The sequence below is a fragment of the Homo sapiens genome, chromosome 9 (genome assembly GCF_000001405.40).
Source record: "Homo sapiens chromosome 9, GRCh38.p14 Primary Assembly".
NCBI lineage: Eukaryota > Metazoa > Chordata > Mammalia > Primates > Hominidae > Homo > Homo sapiens.
In genome coordinates this window covers 79176371-79199722 of record NC_000009.12, presented here as the reverse complement: position 1 = coordinate 79199722, position 23352 = coordinate 79176371, and positions in this window count along the sequence as shown.

Here is a 23352-nt window from a genome sequence, read left to right as displayed (position 1 = left end):
TGTGACCTCTACTGGCTATATTAGCCAGGTTCCCTTGACCTCTGGCTTCTGGTTGGAATCAGTTAATGGGAAGCTCTGCCTGGCAGGAGAGGAGAGAGGACTGTTTTTGTTTGCTTGTTTGTTTGTTTGTTTGTTTTGTTGTTTTTTTTCCACCACTCTCATCCTGCTTTATGCTGTGGTTCTGGTAATACCTCGATCCCTCAACTACAGCTTCTGCGAAGTGGTTCTTCTCCATGGCTCTAGATCTCATCAGAATCCTCTAAGACTATTCCCTCCCCTTCCTTCTTCATGTCTAGGGCTGTTAATAACTTCTCCTTGTTGCTAGTCTCTGACTGCCTCAATGTCCCTTGGAGCCTCCTTTAATACAGCTGCATAAATAGTTCCTTCCCATTCTGTAAATTGTCTCCTCACACTTTCATCTGAACAGGGCTTCTTTGCTTGCCTGGGCACCGACTAAAACAGTTCATTTTGGGTTAATCATAGTCTGAAGTCATTTATCTTCTTTGCTGCAGCAGCAAAGCCATCATCACAAAGGATAGGATCAATTCTTGTTCATTTTGTATCTCACAGATCTGCTAATCCATGAGAAATGTGGCTAATCTGAGCGGAGGACTGACTCTCATCTCCAATTGCATTTTTGCCTTTTGGATTTGGTTGATACTAAATATGAAAAAAGACCATTAGCAGACAGGAGGATACAAGAGCAAAGGTTATATGTGGTTTATGTTTTTTACATTCTAACACTTTCTCCTGAATTATGGAGAATGATGTAAGGACTTTGTTGTTTATATAGAACCTGATAACATTCAACAATCAGAAACATGGCTTGTTTGGTTGGTTATTGCTGGACGAGCCACTACATCTGCAAAATAAATAAATACATACATAAATAAATAAATACATAAATAAAAACTCATTAGTGGGTAGGTTTGAAACTGGCCCCAGTTTCCCTCCAGAGCAGAATTATTGTTGACTTGTTTTAAATTTTTTTCTCAATCATTGTGGAATTACCAGGCTGATTAATAAGAGTTCATTTACTAATGATTATAAATATTAATTTCAGGTCGGATATATTATTTCTACCAGTGGAAAAAGTATTTACCTGTATTTTTCTTTTAGAAATGGATGCTGTATGTTTACTCTTTTCAATGAATCTCTTATGAGTTCAGGGAGCTCTGCAGAAGGATAAAGGCACCTTTTCAATCATAGATAGGAAATGGGAGAAGAAGTAGAAAATATGGAGGTTTCATGTTTTATGCTAGATGTTGATTGGACTTAGGTGGTGGGTCATTCATTCTTTTAAGCCATTTACATTTATTAAGTTAATATTTATAAAGTCCTATCAAGTTTCAGAAGCTGGGGGTGGAAAGATTCATAAGACATGCTTATGTCACAATGGACTGAATCCAATGGAGAAGGAGACACCTGACCGAGAAACTGTTCTTCACTAAGTAGGAAGATGGTGCCAGCCGCTACCCATTCTTACTCACCTATTTAGTATGGGTTAAGAGTAAGGGAAACTCTAATCCTGACCCCTTGGCTTCATCATTGTGAAGGTAGACTCTAGAAAAAGCTTCTAGCTTCACTTTGGGGAGCAGTGTGTGACAGGAGGGTCTTAAAGGGGAGCACCAGGTCTGTATTAAAGATTATTTTGATTGAAAGGTCAACTGCTAAAAGAAAGAAGAGAGGGAGGAGAGAGAGAGAAAGGAAGAAAGGAAAGAAAGGGGAAAAGAAAGGAGGTAGGTAGGAATGGAGGGGAGAGAAAAAAGAGAGGAAGAAGAAGAAGAAAAACAGGATGAGGAGGAGGAGGAAGGAGTTAGAAAGAAGGAAGGAAGGTTGGAAACCCATTGACCTAGAGCAAAGGTCTGTGAATATTTTTTTATAAAGCACCAAATAATAAATCCTTTAGGCTTTACGGGCCATACAATCTCTGTCACAACTACTCTGATCTGCTTGGTAACACAAAAGCAGCTGGAGACAATCAGTTAATTTATGGAACACTGAAATTTGAATTTCATATAGTTTTCGCATGTCACAAAATATTACTCTTCCTTGGATTATTTTGACCACTTAAAAGTGTAAAAATAAGTTCTAAATTGTAGGACATATTAAAAGAAGCTATATCCCATGTGCCATAGTTTGCCAAATCCCAGGCTAGAGTGACAAGCCTAAAGGAAGAGAAGCATCATATACCATTGCTCTGCCAGAATGCCCAATAATACAGTCTCTAACACCTTCCATGGTTATTTGGTATATTCACTGATGAGGATCCGCCATTAACTAGGTGCAGTATCCTCCCTGCGACCCTGGGTCGAGTGGATCAGTTGACCTTCATACAACTCTCTTCTTTGCCTGTAAAATAGATAAGTTTTGGCCGGGTGCTGTGGCTCACGCCTGTAATCCCAGCACTCTGGGAGGCTGAGGCAGGTGGATCACAAGGTCAGGAGATTGAGACCATCCTGGCTCACACGGTGAAACCCTGTCTCTACTAAAAATACAGAAAATTAGCTGGGTGTGGTGGCGGGAGCCTGTAGTCCTAGCTACTCAGGAGGCTGAGGCAAGAGAATGGCATGAACCTGGGAGGCGGAGCTTGCAGTGAGCCGAGATTACACCACTGCACTACTCCAGCCTGGGCGACAGAGCAAGGCTCTGTCTCAAAAAAAAAAAAAAAAAAAAAAAAAAAAAAAGATAAGTTTACCTGGCCTTTGAAAACTCACAGATTTTGATGAGGATAAATGAAATAAAATCCATCAAAAGTACTTTATGCTGTTAGGAAGAAAAGCATTCCACAAACCCAATGTATTATTAAAGAAAAAGCAAATTTGTCAGGAGGAATTGGAAAGCCCCAATGCACAGTACCACATGACTGAAAAATGCAGCCACGATGGAGCTCTCCCCACTGAGATAAATGATGTGGCCTTCTCTCCTTAACATGCTCTCCCCATATTTCATCATCTGCAAATGGGATGACTTTACTGCCTGTTCTTTTTCTTTCTTTTCTTTTTTTTCCCTACCTCATTAATCCATGAGAGAATCAAATTGTTCCTCAAATGGATTGCTCAGTGGCATTTGGCTGGCTCCTTCTGTCTGATGCAGCCCATGGGGCTGTACTTAATGGGCCAAGGTCTGTGTTCGCTTTCCAAGTTTAATAATCACTTGATAGGTTACCCCTTGTATAGTACACTATTGAAAACCTTCTTATACAATTCAGGGAAAATATGCCTATGGTCTTTCTAGAGTCAACTTGTTTAGATAACCAGATAGTCTTTTCAAGGGTGGCAGAATGGGATCATTTTTGTGAATTAGATCTTTCTTACTCTTGGTATGATGTGACATTTCTTAGTATTTTATAATGGTTTTACAGGTTGAATTATTCTGGCATCTTCCCCTACAAAGCAATTCTAAAAGTCTGTTTTTTTCTGATAATTCTCATCCTCTCTGGCCCCAGGTAGAGTTGACCAGTTACATTTAAAGACTACACTTTGTCTGCCTTAGATTGGTTCAAATTTTATCTGAAAGTTTTGAGCTTTCTGTCTTCCAATGTTATGGTTTCCAGATTTTGCTCTATCAAATGCAGCTGTGATTTCTAAGAATGACTAAAACAAGGTTGCATAATATCTTCCTTGTCACAGGGGAATTTCTTCTTTCCATTGGAGGCTGCCTTGGCCTCAAGTTCTTGGTATATTTGTCTTAGAAATTATTTATTTTCATTTCCTGCACATCATCTTTTTTTTTTTTAACTTTATCTGTCAAAGCTGGCTCTTCAGACTAGAATTAGGCATAGAAACACTTAAGTAGGAGACACTGAAGAGAATTTTGCACAGTAAAAAGGGATTATACTTGTTTTTGGTTAAGGTTAAAATTTAGTTACTTGGCTTTTAGAGATAGTACGATTAAACACATGTTTTCTGTAATATCATCATTCATGCGACATATCTTTTTCCCTTAAACTTTAAAGTTCCCTTCTTTATCCTGGCTTTATTTCTCAATGTTCTTGTTATTATTACAGGAATAATATTTCTACATGTGTAAGTGACATGAGTTAGCCCTTTCCTGTTTTATAGTTCTCTTCCATTTATTTCTTCCAAACATTCTCTTGTGCAATATAACTCCAATATTATATAATAACCATCATCATCGTAGTTTGACGCAAACTTGTAATGTCAGTGCTAACAGAGTAAAAGATATTTTTCTAAAGCCTTGTCTCATGAAACTTGAACCATAATTTTTATCAGATGGAAAAAAATTGCTCCTAGTAGAGTGGAAGAGAAGAAAAGCACTTCTTTCCTTTAAACGGAATTTTGAGTAGTTTTAATAACAAACCATTCTGGGCCATTGCTATTGTGTCTAAGAGGTACCAGTGTCCCTCACTTGTGCAGTTTGTGCTTAAAACAGTGTCACTTGAATTCAATCAAGTACAGTCCTCTGATTACTTTTATTTCTGGGACAGATTTCAAGAGCAACTTCTAATTTTAGGTATTGTAGCTGAGATTCTTCCCATCCTCTGTACTCCACTGATGTTCTATGTGCATTAGCTTCCCTTTAAAGGCGACAATCATAGGCACTTCACAGAGGAAGCAGAAAGCTCATGTGGGTGGAGGTGAGGGAGGCCAGAGAGGGAGGCAGATATATTTTTTGTGTGTTTTTGTCTGTGAGTTTAATTTCACACGACCGTTTTTACAAATAAGAAACTTTTAGAATCTATTTTGATAATTATAATCATAGAGACTAGAGTACAATGTGGGCTATTCTAATTATTTAGAATAAGGCATAACGTCTCTTCTGTGAATACAACACAGTTTGCATTCTTACTGTGCATGAGATACATATAACACATACGGCATTCTCCTGGATATTTTAAATGTGCACATAATGATCAGCAGTCTTTTCTGTCTGGTATTATTGCAAAGACCAGGGCAGATGAGCCAAAGAAGAGTGAGTATGGGTGCACAAATTAGGAAGTTCTGAAGTTTCATTCTGAAATATGTGTACCTGGGTGAGACTGGGATGCTTACCCAGATAAATGCAACTGTGCTGAAATGAAATTCTCTTAAATAAATTCCTTCGTGATCCTGATATACCTAGAGCTCCGAGTTCTTACCTGTCTGCATGCAAATACCTGAAGGTGAGCAGGCACTAGTTCCTAGGCAGGAATCCCAGAGATTATGAGTGTCATAAAGGACTGAAGATTAGTGCCAGCATGGGAAAATGAAGGAATCCATCATCTTTCTGTTGGGAATATGGAGAATCATTTATATGTCCCACTTCAGAACCGTACTATCCACTGTGTACCTCAGCATGGTTTCCATTATGTGCTTAATCACTCTCCTTGAAATTGCATATGGGTACTCTCAACTTCCCTGTGAGTCAGGATACCAGCCAGAATCGGATGGCATTTTCCTGAGCATTTAGTAAAGTGATTGCTTTCAAAGAAGTGAGCAGAATTAAGGGGAACACATAAGGGCTGATGCCACACCCCTGGGCTAACCATAGCGGGAAGCCATTCCCAGCTACAGGGCCAGGGTCAAGAGCAGGAGGCACATCCCAGTGGGAGCCGCTGATAGATAGCTATAGCCACAGTGACAGTTAAGAGTGCAACCACTACCACAGCACGACCCAGCACTAGGGAAGAAACTAACCTCTCTTTAGGCTTGTTCTCTGGTGGCTGAAACCTAGTGGCTGCAGAGGGGACAGGAGCCACTGACGATTCCGCCTTCTGGCCAGAGACCAGGGCAGAGGAGGCTGGGCTGAGCTGGAGCGGGGATAGAGGATGCCCGCACATTCTCCTCACATAACCCTGCTTCTTCATGTTCCTGAAGTTCTTGGCTTTCCTTCTTGGTTTTCTCCTCCCGGCCTTATGCTCTCAGTTTCCCTGCGTAGCAGTATTTCCTCACTCTGTGCTCGCTGTCTGTGCCATCCCATCGTGCGATTGGCACCGCAGGCCTCCTCCATATGCCCGCTCCGGCGCCTCCCGCCGGCTCCGCGTGGCGACATCCAGGGCGTACGCCGCTCTTCCCGCCGCCGCCCTCACCTGCGGGAGCTGTGCACGGGATGTCGCAACCGCCTTCCGGAACTGGAAACCTTTCCCGCACCAATATTTTGAAGTCACGCTTTGAGGTTGCAAATCTGTCACTGATACATCCTTTCACATAGCACCGTTTGTATTTTGAGTGTTGCGTAGTAAATCGTAATTGCCACCAACTAAAATAGATTTAGGAAATAGGAAGTGTGGGCATTTCTTATAATTTACCATTCACGTTGAATCTTTTCCTCAGTGTGACTGCAATCACAGCTCTTGCATAAAACACCAAGTAACATGTTGGCCTGAACTGAACAAAACTGCTTATTCTCTTCAAATTGCATTAAGCTTATCGTTTCAAGCCTAGCAGGTTTTCTCTCCACAGGAATTCTGAAGATGTCAGTTGATAATACGTCTACTTTCCAAAGCCCAGTTGAGTAATTTAAATTGTTGGTAGTGTGGTCACTGGAAGTGCATGAATGTATTGGGATGAAATTTACATCGTCATGATTCTCTTTATGAGAATTCAGAGAAAAACTTTGCAGATCTCTGCTAAGAATTACTGTGCTCCATCTGACACAGCTGTGGGTGTTGCTGTATCCTCTGGACATTGGAAAACTTGTGTATGTGAATCATGCATTTCTCTTGGCTCTGCAGTTAAGTATCTAAGGGAAATTTGAGATTCACCTCTAGCATGCTGCTATGGTCTGAAGGTTGATATCTCCCTCGAATTCCTGTGTTGCAATCCTCATCCCAAGGTGATGGCATTAGGAAGTAGGGCCTTTTGGGCAGAACTCTCATGAATGGCCTTGGTGCCTTTATGAAAGAGACCTGAGAGAGACGCTTCACCCCTTCTGCCGTGTGAGGACACCGTGAGAAGGCACCATGTGTGAGCCAGAAATTGGGCCCTAACCAACCACTTAATATGCCTTGATCTTGGACTCTCCAGCCTCCAGAACTGTAAGAAGGAAATTTATTTTGCTCATAAGCCACCCAGTCTATGATATTTTGTTATAGCAGCCTGGATGGACTAAGACTGATACATTTTGTGCAGTACAACACCTTGTCATTATTATTTTTTTCACTTTCATTTGTTCATATTCAATCTATGAAAAACCTGTTACTTCTGCTTCCAAAATACATTTGAGTCTACCTTCAACTTTGTTTTTCTTTTTCTTTCTTTTTTTTTGAAACGGAGTCTCGCTTTGTCATCAGGCTGGACAATCTCGGCTCACTGCAACCTCCACCTCCCAGGTTCAAGTGATTCTCCTGCCTCAGCCTCCTAAGTAGATGGCATGTGTCACAACGCCCAGCTAATTTTTTTATATTTTTAGTAGAGACGGGGTTTCACCATGTTGGCCAGGCTGGTCTCAAACTCCTGACCTCAGGTGATCTGCCCACCTTGGCCTCCCAAAGTACTGGCATTACAGGCATGAGCCACCACGCCTGGCCTGAGTCTACCTTCAACTTTACTCTTAATGTCCACTTCAGTGATGGAGGGAAAGCCACCAGCATTTCTTCTGGATGCCTGTCACAGCCATGTGACTACTCTGTTGCATTCCCAGTCATCTCTCTCCAATTTCTTCCCCACACAGCATCTTGAGTAACTTTTAAAAACATGAATCTAATTATTTCCCCCTAATTTGCAAGAATAATACAATGAACATTCATACACTTGTTACCTGTGTTTACTCACATTTTACCCCTGAACACTTCAGCATATATTTCCTAATAAGAAGTTCAGCCTTCTACATAGCCACAGTAATGTTATCACACTCAGGAAATTTAACTTTGATAAAATACTATTATCTATTATACACTAATATTCAAACTTCCACAACCATCCCAATAAGGTTCCTCATAGCTGTTTTTTGCTGTTGTTGTCACCTGCGTGTATGCTTTATTCATGATTAATTTAAAACCATATATTGAATTTAGCCATCATGACTTTTTAATTTCATTTTGAAGAGTCCATGTCCATGGTATTGCAGCATATCTCTCAGTTTGGATTTGTTTGATTGTTTTTGCAGATTCGCTTCAGATTAAAGTGTTTAATTTTTGCAAGAACACTATAGAGCTGATGTGGCCTCAGTGTATCACAGCAAGGGAACAGACTGTTAATTTATTCCATTAAAGGTAATGTGAAGTCTGATCATTTAGTCAAGGTATTACCCACCAGATTTTTTCATTTTAAATGTTTCCTTTTCCTTTTCTAATTTATCTGTAATCTGAAAGGTGATTAATCTAATTATCTGAAAGATAAAAATCTCCACTTGAAAAAATTATATACAGAACACTTCCAACTCTTTTCCATCTAACTGCCTTTGTATATGTTTTTCTCACCACTGTGTTTATTGCATAATTAGCTCCTTCTTATATTTCATGTCTAGGATTAAATTTCTGTCTTCAGAGGAGCTTTCTGTGATTATCCAATCAAAAGAAGCCTCTCACCAGCCATCAGCTACTCAGCATCTTAGCACCTTGTTTGTTTCCTTTCTAGTACTTTCCAAGGGTGTGATTATGTGCCTGGCTATGCACTTAATATCTATAGCTATAACTATATTATAAGGGCAGAAATATCAGGACTTTCTTTTTCACTATTGTAGCCCCAGTGCTAAAATATATAGAGAGAGCTATACACGTGAGAGACTATCAAATAAACATTTGTTGAATGAGAAAATCAATGCATGTAAGAATAAATGTTATATCTTGATAGATTTTTTTTTTACATACTTAGATATTTTAAAATAATTTTTGCAGCAAGAAGGCCAAGTAAATGAGACAGAGTTGTGAGGGTTTTTGTTTGTTTGTTTGTTTTCGATACAGTCTCGCTCTGTCACCCAGGCTGGAGTGCAGTGGCCCAATCTCAGTTCACTGCTACCTCCACCTTCAGGGTTCAAGTGATTCTCATGCCTCAACCTCCCCAGTAGCTGGGACTACAGGCATGTGTCACCACTCCGGTTAATTTTTTTGGTATTTTTAGTAGAGACGGAGTTTTGCCATTTTGGCCAGGCCGCTCTTGAACTCCTGACCTCCGGTGGTCAGCCCGCTGCGGCCTCCCAAAGAACTGGGATTACAGGTGTGAGCCACTGTGCCTGGCCGAGAGTTGCGGAATTCTATACCGAAATTTATACTCCTCTTTTCACGATGTGGCTTTGTCAGTGGGAAGCAGCTGCCCTGACAGGGACTATGTTTCCATGTCCCTAGCATCCAGGTGTGGCCAAGAGATCAGTTCTTGCCAATATAATGTGGGTAGTGTTGTGTATTTCACTTCCTGGTCCTGCTTTTAAGAAGTGAGTGGGACTTCTTCATTGTCTCTTTCTCTCTGTCAGCTAGAAGCTGTTAGGACTTGGCATAGCCACAGTCCAGGAGGATCCTAGGTCCTTGAGCTGTGACAGAGAAACAGCTATCTACAGACTATAATGGGAATAAGAAATAAATTTTTAGTGCATAGATCCATGCAAAATTTGCCATTTACTTGTAATAGCATCTAGAGTTACTCTGAATAATATAGAAACAAAAATTTGGAAGACGTAACCAAAAAGTAAGAGAATAAAAGTGAAAAGAAAGTTGTGATTACTTAAGATTCCCTGTTAGAATACTATTTTGAGAAGTATATGTTTTCCAGATTCTTCAAGCCATACAGAGTAGGATTAGACATGAAAACACTCAGGAGGGATACTTTGAAGATAATTTTACTGTAGAATGAAAGCAGGAGCTATCTTTGCCTTTGGAAAAGGTGAAAATGCCGTTGCTTAGCTTTTAGAGATGGTATGGTTAAACCTCCTCATTTCTCAGATGCTATACCCTACCGCCAAACTAATCTGGGGAAATTCCAGTATGATTTAAGAGACAATCCATCAAATCTTTCCTTCATTGCCTCCAGTAAATTTTATCTGTTGTGGGTAGCATTACTAATGGAACAGCAATCTAACCCGTGATTATTTATTATCAAGCCAGTGAATAAAAGGATTTGCTGAACTTTAGAGATGGAGGGGATCTTTAGTTTATTTTACAGTGGGCCAGATAATGTAAGTGCTTGCCTCCCAGCATTCAATACAGAGTTAGTTACTGGCCAACATGAGCCCAGAAGCCAGGGCTCCTGGCCAAAGCAGCTAGTCACCTCCTGGATCCAAAGCTATATGACACTCTGACCATGACTTAGTAAAAACGATTTTGAAGGATTCAGTTAATATTACCCACACCTCCAGTTTGCTTCAGTTGTAACAGAAAAGTTGGTAGGGCATTTACAAATGTGTTTCCTATATTTGTATATTTCTACCTTGAATTAATGTGACTGTCTCTAAACAAACATCACCAAGACACATTCAAATACTTGTGAGATTTTCAGGAGTCTGCATTTATTCTAGTGATAGTGTCATTACTCAGGACATTTTAAAATCTGTATGTAGCATTATTTAAGAGCTCATGACACATTATTCTTTCAATTATTTTTTTCTTTTGATTACAAAAGTGATAGTACATACCCTGAGAACTGAAGAAAACAAAAGAAATTTTAAAACAATCCAAATTGGTTCACTCAAAAGTAACCATTCTAAACATGGTAAATTAATCCCTTAAATGTAAATATGTCTAGGGGTATGTTTATGTGTGTGTGGTTATGTAATACTACAGAAATGGTTTTGCTTTGAAAGTTTTATCATGTATATTTGCTTATAAAATAAACTTCTTAATTTTAGCTATCATATTGAGTTGGACAGCATTCATAGATCTTTGTTTAACATTCCAGCTATGGCAAGTTACTGAGTAAAATTTAAAGGCTTTTGATCATTAAGTGGGCCCATTCTCTTGAATTAATTGATTAAATCAGCTGAATTGCTTTCTGTTAGTAAACATTCATCCTCAGATTTGTCATTTGAAAACAAGCAAAAGATACTGGACCAAAATCTGGTGATTAAGATAAGTGATTAATTTAAGGAATGCTATTTTGAAGCAAATAGAAGGTGGCTAATATACGGTGAGACACTCTGAAGGTGTCACAGAAGGCAGGTTCAAAAGAAGGGTTCCAAAAATATTTTAGTAATGGAGGCATTTACCAAATAAACATGTATTATCACTTGATGGCTACTTTAAAGGAAAACATCACTTCAATGCTTGAGTTCTCATGTGAATATCATAAAATGAGCTTCTCGAAGCTATTGTTATTCCTAGACATTTGCACACATTAGCACGTAAAGGTGGAGGGCAAGCAAACAGAATTTGCCATCTTATGTGTGTGCAGGAGAAAGCTGGGTTTTGTCATTTCTTATATCCTGTCCTATTACAAAGAAAGAAAGAGAAACAAGAAAAAAGAAAGAAGGAAGGAAGTTGGGAGGAAGGAAAAGAAAAAAGGGAGATACGAAGCACAAAAAGGAAAGGAAAGAGAGAGAAGGAGAAAGAGAGGGAAGAGGGAAGGAAGAAAAGAGGAAAAGGAAGGAAGGAAGATGGCCGACCCAATGTTCCTGTAAAGTAATAATAAAGCCAGTACTTACAGATGAATTTAGGAAGCTACTCTTAAACTTAGTACAGACCAATAATTTCCAAAATTTTAGAGATAATGGTACTCTTCTGTAATATTTCTAATAAATACTCTGGAACTCCAATTACAGCAAAATTTGAGGATGAATTGAAGATGATGGAGAGATCCACACAGATACACATTAGATACTGTCTTCATAATCACAGAGTTTCCAGAGAACAACTTTTGAAAACCAGTTTTAGGCTGATGAAGCCCATTAGTGTGGTTAGCCTATCTATCTATCTCCCCAGGGGTTCCAAAGAAGGGGCGCTCATGATAACCAGGTAAAGATAGCTGAACAAGGTTTTTGGAATCTGAGATCCTTAAAGATGAAGCACTTTGACCAGAAATGGAATCTTAGTGCCGTTATCAACTCATTATCCTGCTTGTGCTCTAAAAGGGTAGCATTGTGCTGAATATGCCCATTAAAATCCACCACCTTCAACAATAAAATGTCACCCAGAATGACAGCCTATCTTTAATCATGTTTTAATATAAAGCCTGAAAGAAAAATTGACTTAGAGATACTTTTTTTTTCCAGATCTGGGAAATCCAGTCACCACTTTCAATAAATTTATACTATTACTTAAGTATAGTCTTTTTGAAAAATTATGCACACAAACACACGGCTCAGAAACAAAAATTACTTTTCTATTATTTCCATCTGACTGTGTTCCATGATTCTGGAATGAAACCATTATTTGTAAAATTCTTATAGCAGTGATTGGATCACTACATACTAACTCCTATGCATATAACAAGTAGAATGGTAGATGCTAGAAAGAATCTTTTACTCTTCCACTTTGTGTAGTGAAATAAATACTTTTCTGTAATATAAAAATATAGAAATAATAAAATAAATAATGAAAAAACTACCTCAAGTTTGTTGTTTACCTAATTATGCCTGCCAATAAAAATTCAGGGAAAGAAGGTAAATAATATAATTATTAAAGAGGTTTTATTTCGTGAATCTGTATGGAGCTAAGCAAACTGTTTTATAAAAGGATACAATACATCAAGGTCTGCTTTCTGGGAGTCTACATTTTTAGAGCAATTAAGACAGAAACAGACCAACAGAAAAGAAGTACAGAAGTAACATAAGTAAATAAGTAATATCTATAAACAGAAAAGGAAATAGGGATTACAAAAAGGAGGATGTAGTAAACAAAGTTATTGGCTGAGCGAGGTGGCTCACATCTGTAATCCCAGCACTTTGTGAGGCCGAGGCAGGTGGATCGCTTGAGGTCAGGAGTTTGAGACTAGCCTGACCAACATGGTGAAACCCCATCTCTACTAAAAATACAAAAATTAGCCAGGTGTGGTGGCCCGTGCCTATAGTCCCAGCTACTCTGGAGGCTGAGGCAGGAGAATTGCTTGAACCCAAGAAGCGGAAGTTGCAGTGAGCTGAGATCACCCCACTGCACTCCAGGCTGAGTGACAGAGCAAGACTCTGTCTCAAAAAAGAAAGAAAGTTATTGTTTATTATATTTTATCTTAAAAAATAAGACATTTGTCTACCTTTGTAGATTTCAGTAATTGAAAATATATATCATAAATAAAGGATATACAAATAATAATAACTCAAAAATGTATTGCTGCTCAAACGAGTGGTGGTGAATAGACCTTCAAAATCAAACTATTTCTTGAGGTTTGTATTAGATGTGGTAGGCCAAGAAATGACCTCCTAAAGCTGTCCACATCCTAACTTCAGGACCTGTGTATAGGTTACTTTACATAGCAAAAGGAACGTTTCTGTAATTGAATTAGGAATCTTGAGATGGGAAAATTATACTATATTATTTGGGTGGGCTGAGTGTATTGACAAGGTCCTTATAAGAAAAACAGGGGAAAAGGAGAGTCAGAGGAGACGTGAAGATTGAAACAGAGGTGGGAGTGATGTGGGGCCATGAGCCAAGGAATGTGGGCAGTCTCTCAAATCTGGAAAGAACCAGGAAACAGATTGTCCCCCAGAGCTTCCAGAAGGAATGTGGCCCTGCCAGTCCATTTTGGACTTCTGATCTCCAGAACTGTAAGACAATACATCTGGGTTGTATTAAGTCATGAAGTATGTGGTAATTTGTTATAGTGGCAATAGGAAGCTAATGCATTAGCTTTGAGGGGAAGGTGGTTTCTTAAGTAAAAGTCACACAAAATCAGATGCAATTTCTCTTCAAACAGATGATTTCTCAATTCAGACTGATGTCAGATCAGCCAGCAACTGTTTGCTTTTCTAACAGCTTTTGGACAGGAAATGGACTGTTGTTTCTTCTATCTCTTCTAGGTACCAGTCAGAGTGATGGTATTTTTTGTACTATTACTTCATTTAATCAATATAACAACTCTAAAATGGAAGCATCAGCTCCTATTACAGATGAAGTAGTTGATTCTCAGAGAAAATAAACAACTCAATGTATTTCTAGTTGGTGATAGAATGAGACAAATTCAATAATGGGATAGAAATTAGAATGTAGGTAAATTTATATTCCCTTTAGAGAGTAAATATACAAGACAGATAGATGAGAAAGATAGATTTAGATATAGATATAGATAGGCAGGCAGGCAGGCTGACAGGAGAGGAGAAAAACACGGAGAATTTTACAAATAGAATTTAGTGTGGCCGAGTTTACAGAGCAAACTTCTGGCCTAGATAGTTATTAGGAAAAAAAATCTTTTGGACACTCCATCTACCTCTTGGTTTCCTCTTCTATAAAAGAAAGATAACAATAGACATCTCTCTCATAAAGAATCCCAAGGAACAGGGCTGAATGGTGTGACATTGAAGAGCTCTTTAAATGTTGATTCAACACTCTGTGGTCTACTTAGGACCCCAAACCAATTTGTGACTCATTCAACACTAAGAGGTTATCTGTTCTGAAAGAGGAAAAGAGACATTGTAAATCAGGTGGCAATCAATGATTCCAAAGGGAATTGAACATATTCTTTGTCCAAATGAACAGAAGATGTAGGTGTGAGTTGTGTGCTCTCAATGAGCCGAAGCTGGTTACCAGAGGGTGAGCACAATGCAAGCGAATTTTCAAAAACAGCAGCTCCCAAGACATCTTGGATAAGTGTCTCAAGTTAAGTCATCAAGATGAATGAGGTCACCTAGATACAGTTTAGACAACTGCAAAGCAGAACAATATGACTGAAGACTGGCTTAAGACCTTAGCACAACTACAGAGCCAACAGCAGCTGGAAACTCTTAAGAACTAAATGCAAAGGAGAGAGTAATTTTGACATCAAAGGGATCAGTTTGACAAATGAAAATCAAATTGGATGGACTTTAATGCAAACAGCTGGGTGTGATGCAACCTAAAGAGGCAGATTTCCTGGAGTCAGCCAAAGAGATTTATTAGAATCCCACATACTACCCAAGGAAAATGTAAATACAGATTTTTTAATTTTCAAGTTTTTTTCCATTTCAATGGAGAGGAGAGTATGGTAAGATAAATAGACTGTACCAAAATCTATGGAATGATTTGATGGCTGAGCTTGTTCTGTGTCAAGATGTTTTCTTTTGTTCCTTCTACATTTTCCTTCCTTCCTGTCTTCTATCTCTCCTTTTAATGTGTAGAAAATTTTATCTTGAGATAATATATCTGAATGTAATATGATTGATTCAAAGAGTAAATATATTCCTGCTGAATGATGTTTGTTACTGGAAGCTCATCTGAAATGCACCAAGTGTGATATGGTTATACATTGGCTATGATTGAGACCAGAGGGTAGGTAGCTCATTTGCTGCTGGAAAGAGTTTAGACTCAAGGTAAGTGAAAGGAGGAACCAAAGTTTATCATCAGCTGTGAAGTGGCTTGAGGGAATACTGTCTGTTCTATTTTGCAACAGCGATCTACCCTTATTCTGTTACCACTGGTAAGCCACTAGATTCGGAATGCAAATATCAAGTATAAAAAATTAAAGTTGTTGGAAAAGGCAACACTATTGCACGTGTTATTGCCCTAATTCCTCCACTGTAATATAGTGAAAACTCCTTGAAGACAGAAACACTTATCCAAGAAGCACAGAATCTGCTTAACACTGCACATTATTGTATCCCCAGAAATTTAACAAACTTTAAGACATCCAAGGGGCACACAATACATAGTTGATGTGGTAATGAGTAACATGAGCCAGAAATCTGTAAATTCATCTAGATATGGTTAAGTATAAAGGGAGAGATAAGATACCCTCTGTTTCATTGTTGTCATTATCCATTTAAATTACCTCATGTTGCAGGATCCGCAAAGAAAACTTAAGCCATAAACTCTAAATTTAGGCTTTATTGGAGGGTTCAAATAAGACAAAGCAGAAAAAAATCCTCTCGTTTTTGATATCACTTAATAGGGTCTGTTTGCCTAATTTGAGAACCTACGCAAGGATGTCTAAGTATCATGTAGGAGACTAAGCTAATACACCACTTATCATGTTTTGCTGGTGGATCAGGGAATGATTTCATTGACCTGCAGCTTTGCTCTTGTTCTTGTATCCTTCTAGTTTATTCCATTAATATACCGAAGAAAGACGTGCAGGTGAGAGCTAATGGGCTCATCAGATATTAAGCCCCTTTTCTTTCTGTTTACTACTCGCAACCCCTGCTGGTTTCAAGGGTTTGGTTTTTCATTTAAAGGTATATTTTGTTGACATAATAAGCTATTTAAGGCCAGAACTGATTTAAGGTGAAGGTTTTCCTGAAAACTCATGCTTACAAATCAGCAAAATAGAAAATAGAGTAAAGGTACATGTATTTGTGTCTGGAAAGTCCTGTGTGCAATTAGCTGATGAATCTGCAGCAAAGCCTTGGGCACTGAAATGGTATATTTTGCTAATCATATTTGGAATAAAATATTTCAGGTTTTTCAAGACTTACTACTATTGTAAGGAGTTTAAGAATTAATAAATAACGGAGGAGGAGCCAAGATGGCCGAATAGGAACAGCTCGGGTCTACAGCTCCCAGCGTGAGCGACATAGAAGACGGGTGATTTCTGCATTTCCATCTGAGGTACCGGGTTCATCTCACTAGGGAGTGCCAGACAGTGGGTGCAGGTCAGTGGGTGCGCGAGCCGAAGCAGGGTGAGGCATTGCCTCACTCGGGAAGCTCAAGGCGTCAGGGAGTTCCCTTTCCTAATCAATGAAAGGGGTGATGGACGGCACCTGGAAAATCGGGTCACTCCCACCTGAATACTGGGCTTTTCCGACGGGCTTAAAAAACAGCGCACCACGAGATTATATCCCGCACCTGGCTCGGAGGGTCCTACACCCACGGAGTCTCGCTGATTGCTAGCACAGCAGTCTGAGATCAAACTGCAAGGCGGCAGCGAGGCTGGGGGAGGGGCGCCCGCCATTGCCCAGGCTTGCTTAGGTAAACGAAGCAGCCTGGAAGCTCGAACTGGGTGGAGCCCACCACAGCTCAAGGAGGCCTGCCTGCCTCTGTAGGCTCCACCTCTGGGGGCAGGGCACAGACAGAAAGACAGCAGTAACCTCTGCAGACTTAAATGTCCCTGTCTGACAGCTTTAAAGAGAGCAGTGGTTCTCCCAGTATGCAGCTGGAGATCTGAGAACCGGCAGGGTGCCTGACCCCTGACCCCCGAGCAGCCTAACTGGGAGGCATCCTCCAGCAGGGGCACACTGACACCTCACACGGCAGGGTACTCCAACAGACCTGCAGCTGAGGGTCCTGTCTGTTAGAAGGAAAACTAACAAACAGAAAGGACATCCACACCAAAAACCCATCTGTACATCACCATCATCAAAGACCAAAAGTAGATAAAACCACCAAGACGGGGAAAAAACAGAACAGAAAAACTGGAAACTCTAAAAAGCAGAGCGCCTCTCCTCCTCCAAAGGAACACAGTTCCTCACCAGCAACGGAACAAAGCTGGATGGAGAACGACTTTGACGAGCTGAGAGAAGAAGGCTTCAGACGATCAAATTACTCTGAGCTATGGGAGGACATTCAAACCAAAGGCAAAGAACTTGAAAACTTTGAAAAAAATTTAGAAGAATGTATAACTAGAATAACCAATACAGAGAAGTGCTTAAAGAAGCTGATGGAGCTGAAAACCAAGGCTCGAGAACTATGTGAAGAATGCAGAAGCCTCAGGAGCCGATGCGATCAACTGGAAGAAAGGGTATCAGTGATGGAAGATGAAATGAATGAAATGAAGCGAGAAGGGAAGTTTAGAGAAAAAAGAATAAAAAGAAATGAGCAAAGCCTCCAAGAAATATGGAACTATGTGAAAAGACCAAATCTACGTCTGATTGGTGTACCTGAAAGTGATGGGGAGAATGGCACCAAGTTGGAAAACACTCTGCAGAATATTATCCAGGAGAACTTCCCCAATCTAGCAAGGCAGGCCAACGTTCAGATTCAGGAAATACAGAGAACGCCACAAAGATACTCCTCAAGAAGAGCAACTCCAAGACACATAATTGTCAGATTCACCAAAGTTGAAATGAAGGAAAAAATGTTCAGGGCAGCCAGAGAGAAAGGTCGGGTTACCCTCAAAGGGAAGCCCATCAGACTAACAGTGGATCTCTCGGCAGAAACCCTACAAGCCAGAAGAGAGTGGGGGCCAATATTCAACATTCTTAAAGAAAAGAATTTTCAACCCAGAATTTCATATCCAGCCAAACTAAGCTTCATAAGTGAAGGAGAAATAAAATACTTTACAGACAAGCAAATGCTGAGAGATTTTGTCACCACCAGGCCTGCCCTAAAAGAGCTCCTGAAGGAAGCGCTAAACATGGAAAGGAACAACCAGTACCAGCCGCTGCAAAATCATGCCAAAATGTAAAGACCATCGAGACGAGGAAGAAACTGCATCAACTAACGAGCAAAATAACCAGCTAACATCATCATGACAGGATCAAATTCACACATAACAATATTAACTTTAAATGTAAATGGACTAAATGCTCCAATTAAAAGACACAGACTGGCAAATTGCATAAAGAGTCAAGACCCATCAGTGTGCTGTATTCAGGAAACCCATCTCACATGCAGAGACACACATAGGCTCAAAATAAAAGGATGGAGGAAGATCTACCAAGCAAATGGAAAACAAAAAAAGGCAGGGGTTGCACTCCTAGTCTCTGATAAAACAGACTTTAAACCAACAAAGATCCAAAGAGACAAAGAAGGCCATTACATAATGGTAAAGGGATCAATTCAACAAGAAGAACTAACTATCCTAAATATATATGCACCCAATACAGGAGCACCCAGATTCATAAAGCAAGGCCTGAGTGACTTACAAAGAGACTTACTTAGACTCCCACACATTAATAATGGGAGACTTTAACACCCCACTGTCAAAATTAGACAGATCAACGAGACAGAAAGTCAACAAGGATACCCAGGAATTGAACTCAGCTCTGCACCAAGTGGACCTAATAGACATCTACAGAACTCTCCATCCCAAATCAACAGAATATACATTTTTTTCAGCACCACACCACACCTGTTCCATAATTGACCACATACTTGGAAGTAAAGCTCTCCTCAGCAAATATAAAAGAACAGAACAGAAATTATAACAAACTATCTCTCAGACCACAGTGCAATCAAACTAGAACTCAGGATTAAGAATCTCACTCAAAACCACTCAACTACATGGAAACTGAACAACCTGCTCCTGAATGACTACTGGGTACATAACGAAATGAAGGCAGAAATAAAGATGTTCTTTGAAACCAACAAGAACAAAGACACAACATACCAGAATCTCTGGGACGCATTCAAAGCAGTGTGTAGAGGGAAATTTATAGTACTAAATGCCCACAAGAGAAAGCAGGAAAGATCCAAAATTGACACCCTAACCTCACAATTACAAGAACTAGAAAAGCAAGAGCAAACACATTCAAAAGCTAGCAGAAGGCAAGAAATAACTAAAATCAGAGCAGAACTGAAGGAAATAGAGACACAAAAAACCCTTCAAAAAATTAATGAATCCAGGAGCTGGTTTTTTGAAAGGATCAACAAAATAGATAGACCGCTAGCAAGAATGATAAAGAAAAAAAGAGAGAAGAATCAAATAGACGCAATAAAAAATGATAAAGGGGATATCACCACTGATCCCACAGAAATACAAACTACCATCAGAGAATACTACAACCACCTCTGCGCAAATAAACTAGAAAATCTAGAAGAAATGGATAAATTCCTCGACACATACACTTTCCCAAGACTAAACCAGGAAGAAGTTGAATCTCTGAATAGACCAATAACAGGAGCTGAAATTGTGGCAATAATCAATAGCTTACCAACCAAAAAGAGTCCAGGACCAGATGGATTCACAGCCAAATTCTAACAGAGGTACAAGGAGGAACTGGTACCATTCCTTCTGAAACTATTCCAATCAATAGAAAAAGAGGGAATCCTCCCTAACTCATTTTATGAGGCCAGCATCATTCTGATACCAAAGCCGGGCAGAGACACAAGCAAAAAAGAGAATTTTAGACCAATATCCTTGATGAACATTGATGCAAAAATCCTCAATAAAATACTGGCAAACCGAATCCAGCAACACATCAGAAAGCTTATCCACCATGATCAAGTGGGCTTCATCCCTGGGATGCAAGGCTGGTTCAATATATGCAAATCAATAAATGTAATCCAGCATATAAACAGAGCCAAAGGCAAAAACCACATGATTATCTCAATAGATGCAGAAAAGGCCTTTGACAAAATTCAACAATGCTTCATGCTAAAAACTCTCAATAAATTAGGTATTGATGGGATGTATCTCAAAATAAGAAGAGCTATCTATGACAAACCCACAGCCAATATCATACTGAATGGGCAAAAACTGGAAGCATTCCCTTTGAAAACTGGCACAAGACAGGGATGCCCTCTCTCACCACTCCTATTCAACATAGTGTTGGAAGTTCTGGCCAGGTCAATTAGGCAGGAGAAGGAAATAAGGGGTATTCAATTAGGAAAAGAGGAAGTCAAATTGTCCCTGTTTGCAGATGACATGATTGTATATCTAGAAAACCCCATTGTCTCAGCCCAAAATCTCCTTAAGCTGATAAGCAACTTCAGCAAAGTCTGTGGATACAAAATCAATGTACAAAAATCACAAGCATTCTTATACACCAACAACAGACAAACAGCCAAATCATGAGTGAACTCCCATTCACAATTGCTTCAAAGAGAATAAAATACTTAGGAATCCAACTTACAAGGGATGTGAAGGACCTCTTCAAGGAGAACTACAAACCACTGCTCAAGGAAATAAAAGAGGATACAAACAAAACAAATGGAAGAACATTCCATGCTCATGGGTAGGAAGAATCAATATCGTGAAAATGGCCATACTGCCCAAGGTAATTTACAGATTCAATGCCATCCCCATCAAGCTACCAATGCCTTTCTTCACACAATTGGAAAAAACTACTTTAAAGTTCATATGGAACCAAAAAAGAGCCCGCATCGCCAAGTCAATCCTAAGCCAAAAGAACAAAGCTGGAGGCATCACACTACCTGACTTCAAACTATACTACAAGGCTACAGTAACCAAAACAGCATGGTACTGGTACCAAAACAGAGATATAGATCAATGGAACAGAACAGAGCCCTCAGAAATAATGCCGCATATCTACAACTATCTGATCTTTGACAAACCTGAGGAAAACAAGCAATGGGGAAAGGATTCCCTATTTAATAAATGGTGCTGGGAAAACTGGCTAGCCATATGTAGAAAGCTGAAACTGGATCCCTTCCTTACACCTTATACAAAATCAATTCAAGATGGATTAAAGACTTAAATGTTAGACCTAAAACCATAAAAACTCTAGAAGAAAACCTAGGAAATACCATTCAGGACATAGGCGTGGGCAAGGACTTCATGTCTAAAACACCAAAAGCAATGGCAACAAAAGACAAAATTGACAAATGGGATCTAATTAAACTAAAGAGCTTCTGCACAGCAAAAGAAACTAGCATCAGAGTGAACAGGCAACCTACAAAATGGGAGAAAATTTTTGCAACCTGCTCATCTGACAAAGGGCTAATATCCAGAATCTACAATGAACTAAACAAATTTACAAGAAAAAAACAAACAACCCTATCAAAAAGTGGGCAAAGGACATGAATAGACACTTCTCAAAAGACATTTATGCAGCCAAAAAACTCATGAAAAAATGCTCACCATCACTGGCCATCAGAGAAGTGCAAATCAAAACCACAATGAGATACCATCTCACACCAGTTAGAATGGCAATCATTAAAAAGTCAGGAAACAACAGGTGCTGGAGAGGATGTGGGGAAATAGAACACTTTTACACTGTTGGTGGGACTGGAAACTAGTTCAACCATTGTGGAAGTCAGTGTGGTGATTCCTCAGGGATCTAGAACTAGAAATACCATTTGACCCAGCCATCCCGTTACTGGGTATATACCCAAAGGACTATCAATCATGCTGCTATAAAGACACATGCACACGTATGTTTATTGTGGCACTATTCACAATAGCAAAGACTTGGAACCAACCCAAATGTCCAACAATGATAGACTGGATTAAGAAAATGTGGCACATATACACCATGGAATACTATGCAGCCATAAAAAATGATGAGTTCATGTCCTTTGTAGGGACATGGATGAAATTGGAAATCATCATTCTCAGTAAACTATCGCAAGAACAAAAAACCAAACACCGCATATTCTCACTCATAGGTGGGAATTGAACAATGAGATCACATGGACACAGGAAGGGGAACATCACACTCTGGGGACTGTTGTGGGGTGGGGGGAGGGGGGACGGATAGCATTGGGAGATATACCTAATGCTAGATGACGAGTTGGTGGGTGCAGCGCACCAGCATGGCACATGTATACATATGTAACTAACCTGCACTATGTGCACATGTACCCTAAAACTTAAAGTATAATAATAAAAGAAAATAAAAAGAATTAATAAATAACAATAAATATGAAGCAGTGGATTTCAACCATGATTTTGCAGCCCAGATGATATATATTTTTTGGACTAGTTCAGAAGAGACAATACCAGTGTTGTTGTGTGTGTGTGTGTGTGTGCGCTTTGTGTGTGTGTGTGCACGCACATAACTGTGTGTGTATACACATTAGGTATAAAGTCTAAACGCTGCATTGTGATTACATTAGGTAGTTTACAAAAGCCAACTTGGCTGGCAAGGAAATTCTAAGCTGGAAACAAAAATTATAAAATATGATTTGGATATCAGATAACTTAAGCATTAGTAAAAAGGGTGAGATCAACTTTATCTGGCTAAACAGTCACAGAGTTTTCAAACACATTGGATATCAGTTCATAGTAGCAGTTGATTTTGGCACTCTCTGGATAAAATTAACTTCAAATAATACATGAGCTCACTCTGTAATGTCAAGCAAGACTTGGAGTGTCCAGATTTAAATTTCAAATGGTTCCCAGAATACTTAAATCCATTAAAATTATTTTCAGATCACAAAAATTGCTTTTTCTCCCATTTATCAAAACCCTATCTTTTCCTTCTTACCTTTTACACTAAGAGAATAGAATAGACAGAAATTCAACAGAATTCAATATTGTAAACTTACCATACATCCAAGATTGGTTCAATTTAGGCAAATCTCATGTGTTTCAGATGCTCTAGACCTGTGCCATTTGAAGTTCTCATGAATAGTTCTATTTTTGTCTGTTAACCATTAGGAAGTTGACTCATTTATCTATGTGAGGAGGCTCTCGAGTAGCTGGTTCATTTTAGAATAAAATAGTTTTGAGTCAAAATAGTTTTAAGAATAACACTAGACTTTAGACTGTGTGGACACAAAAAAAAAGATAAAATGAAAAA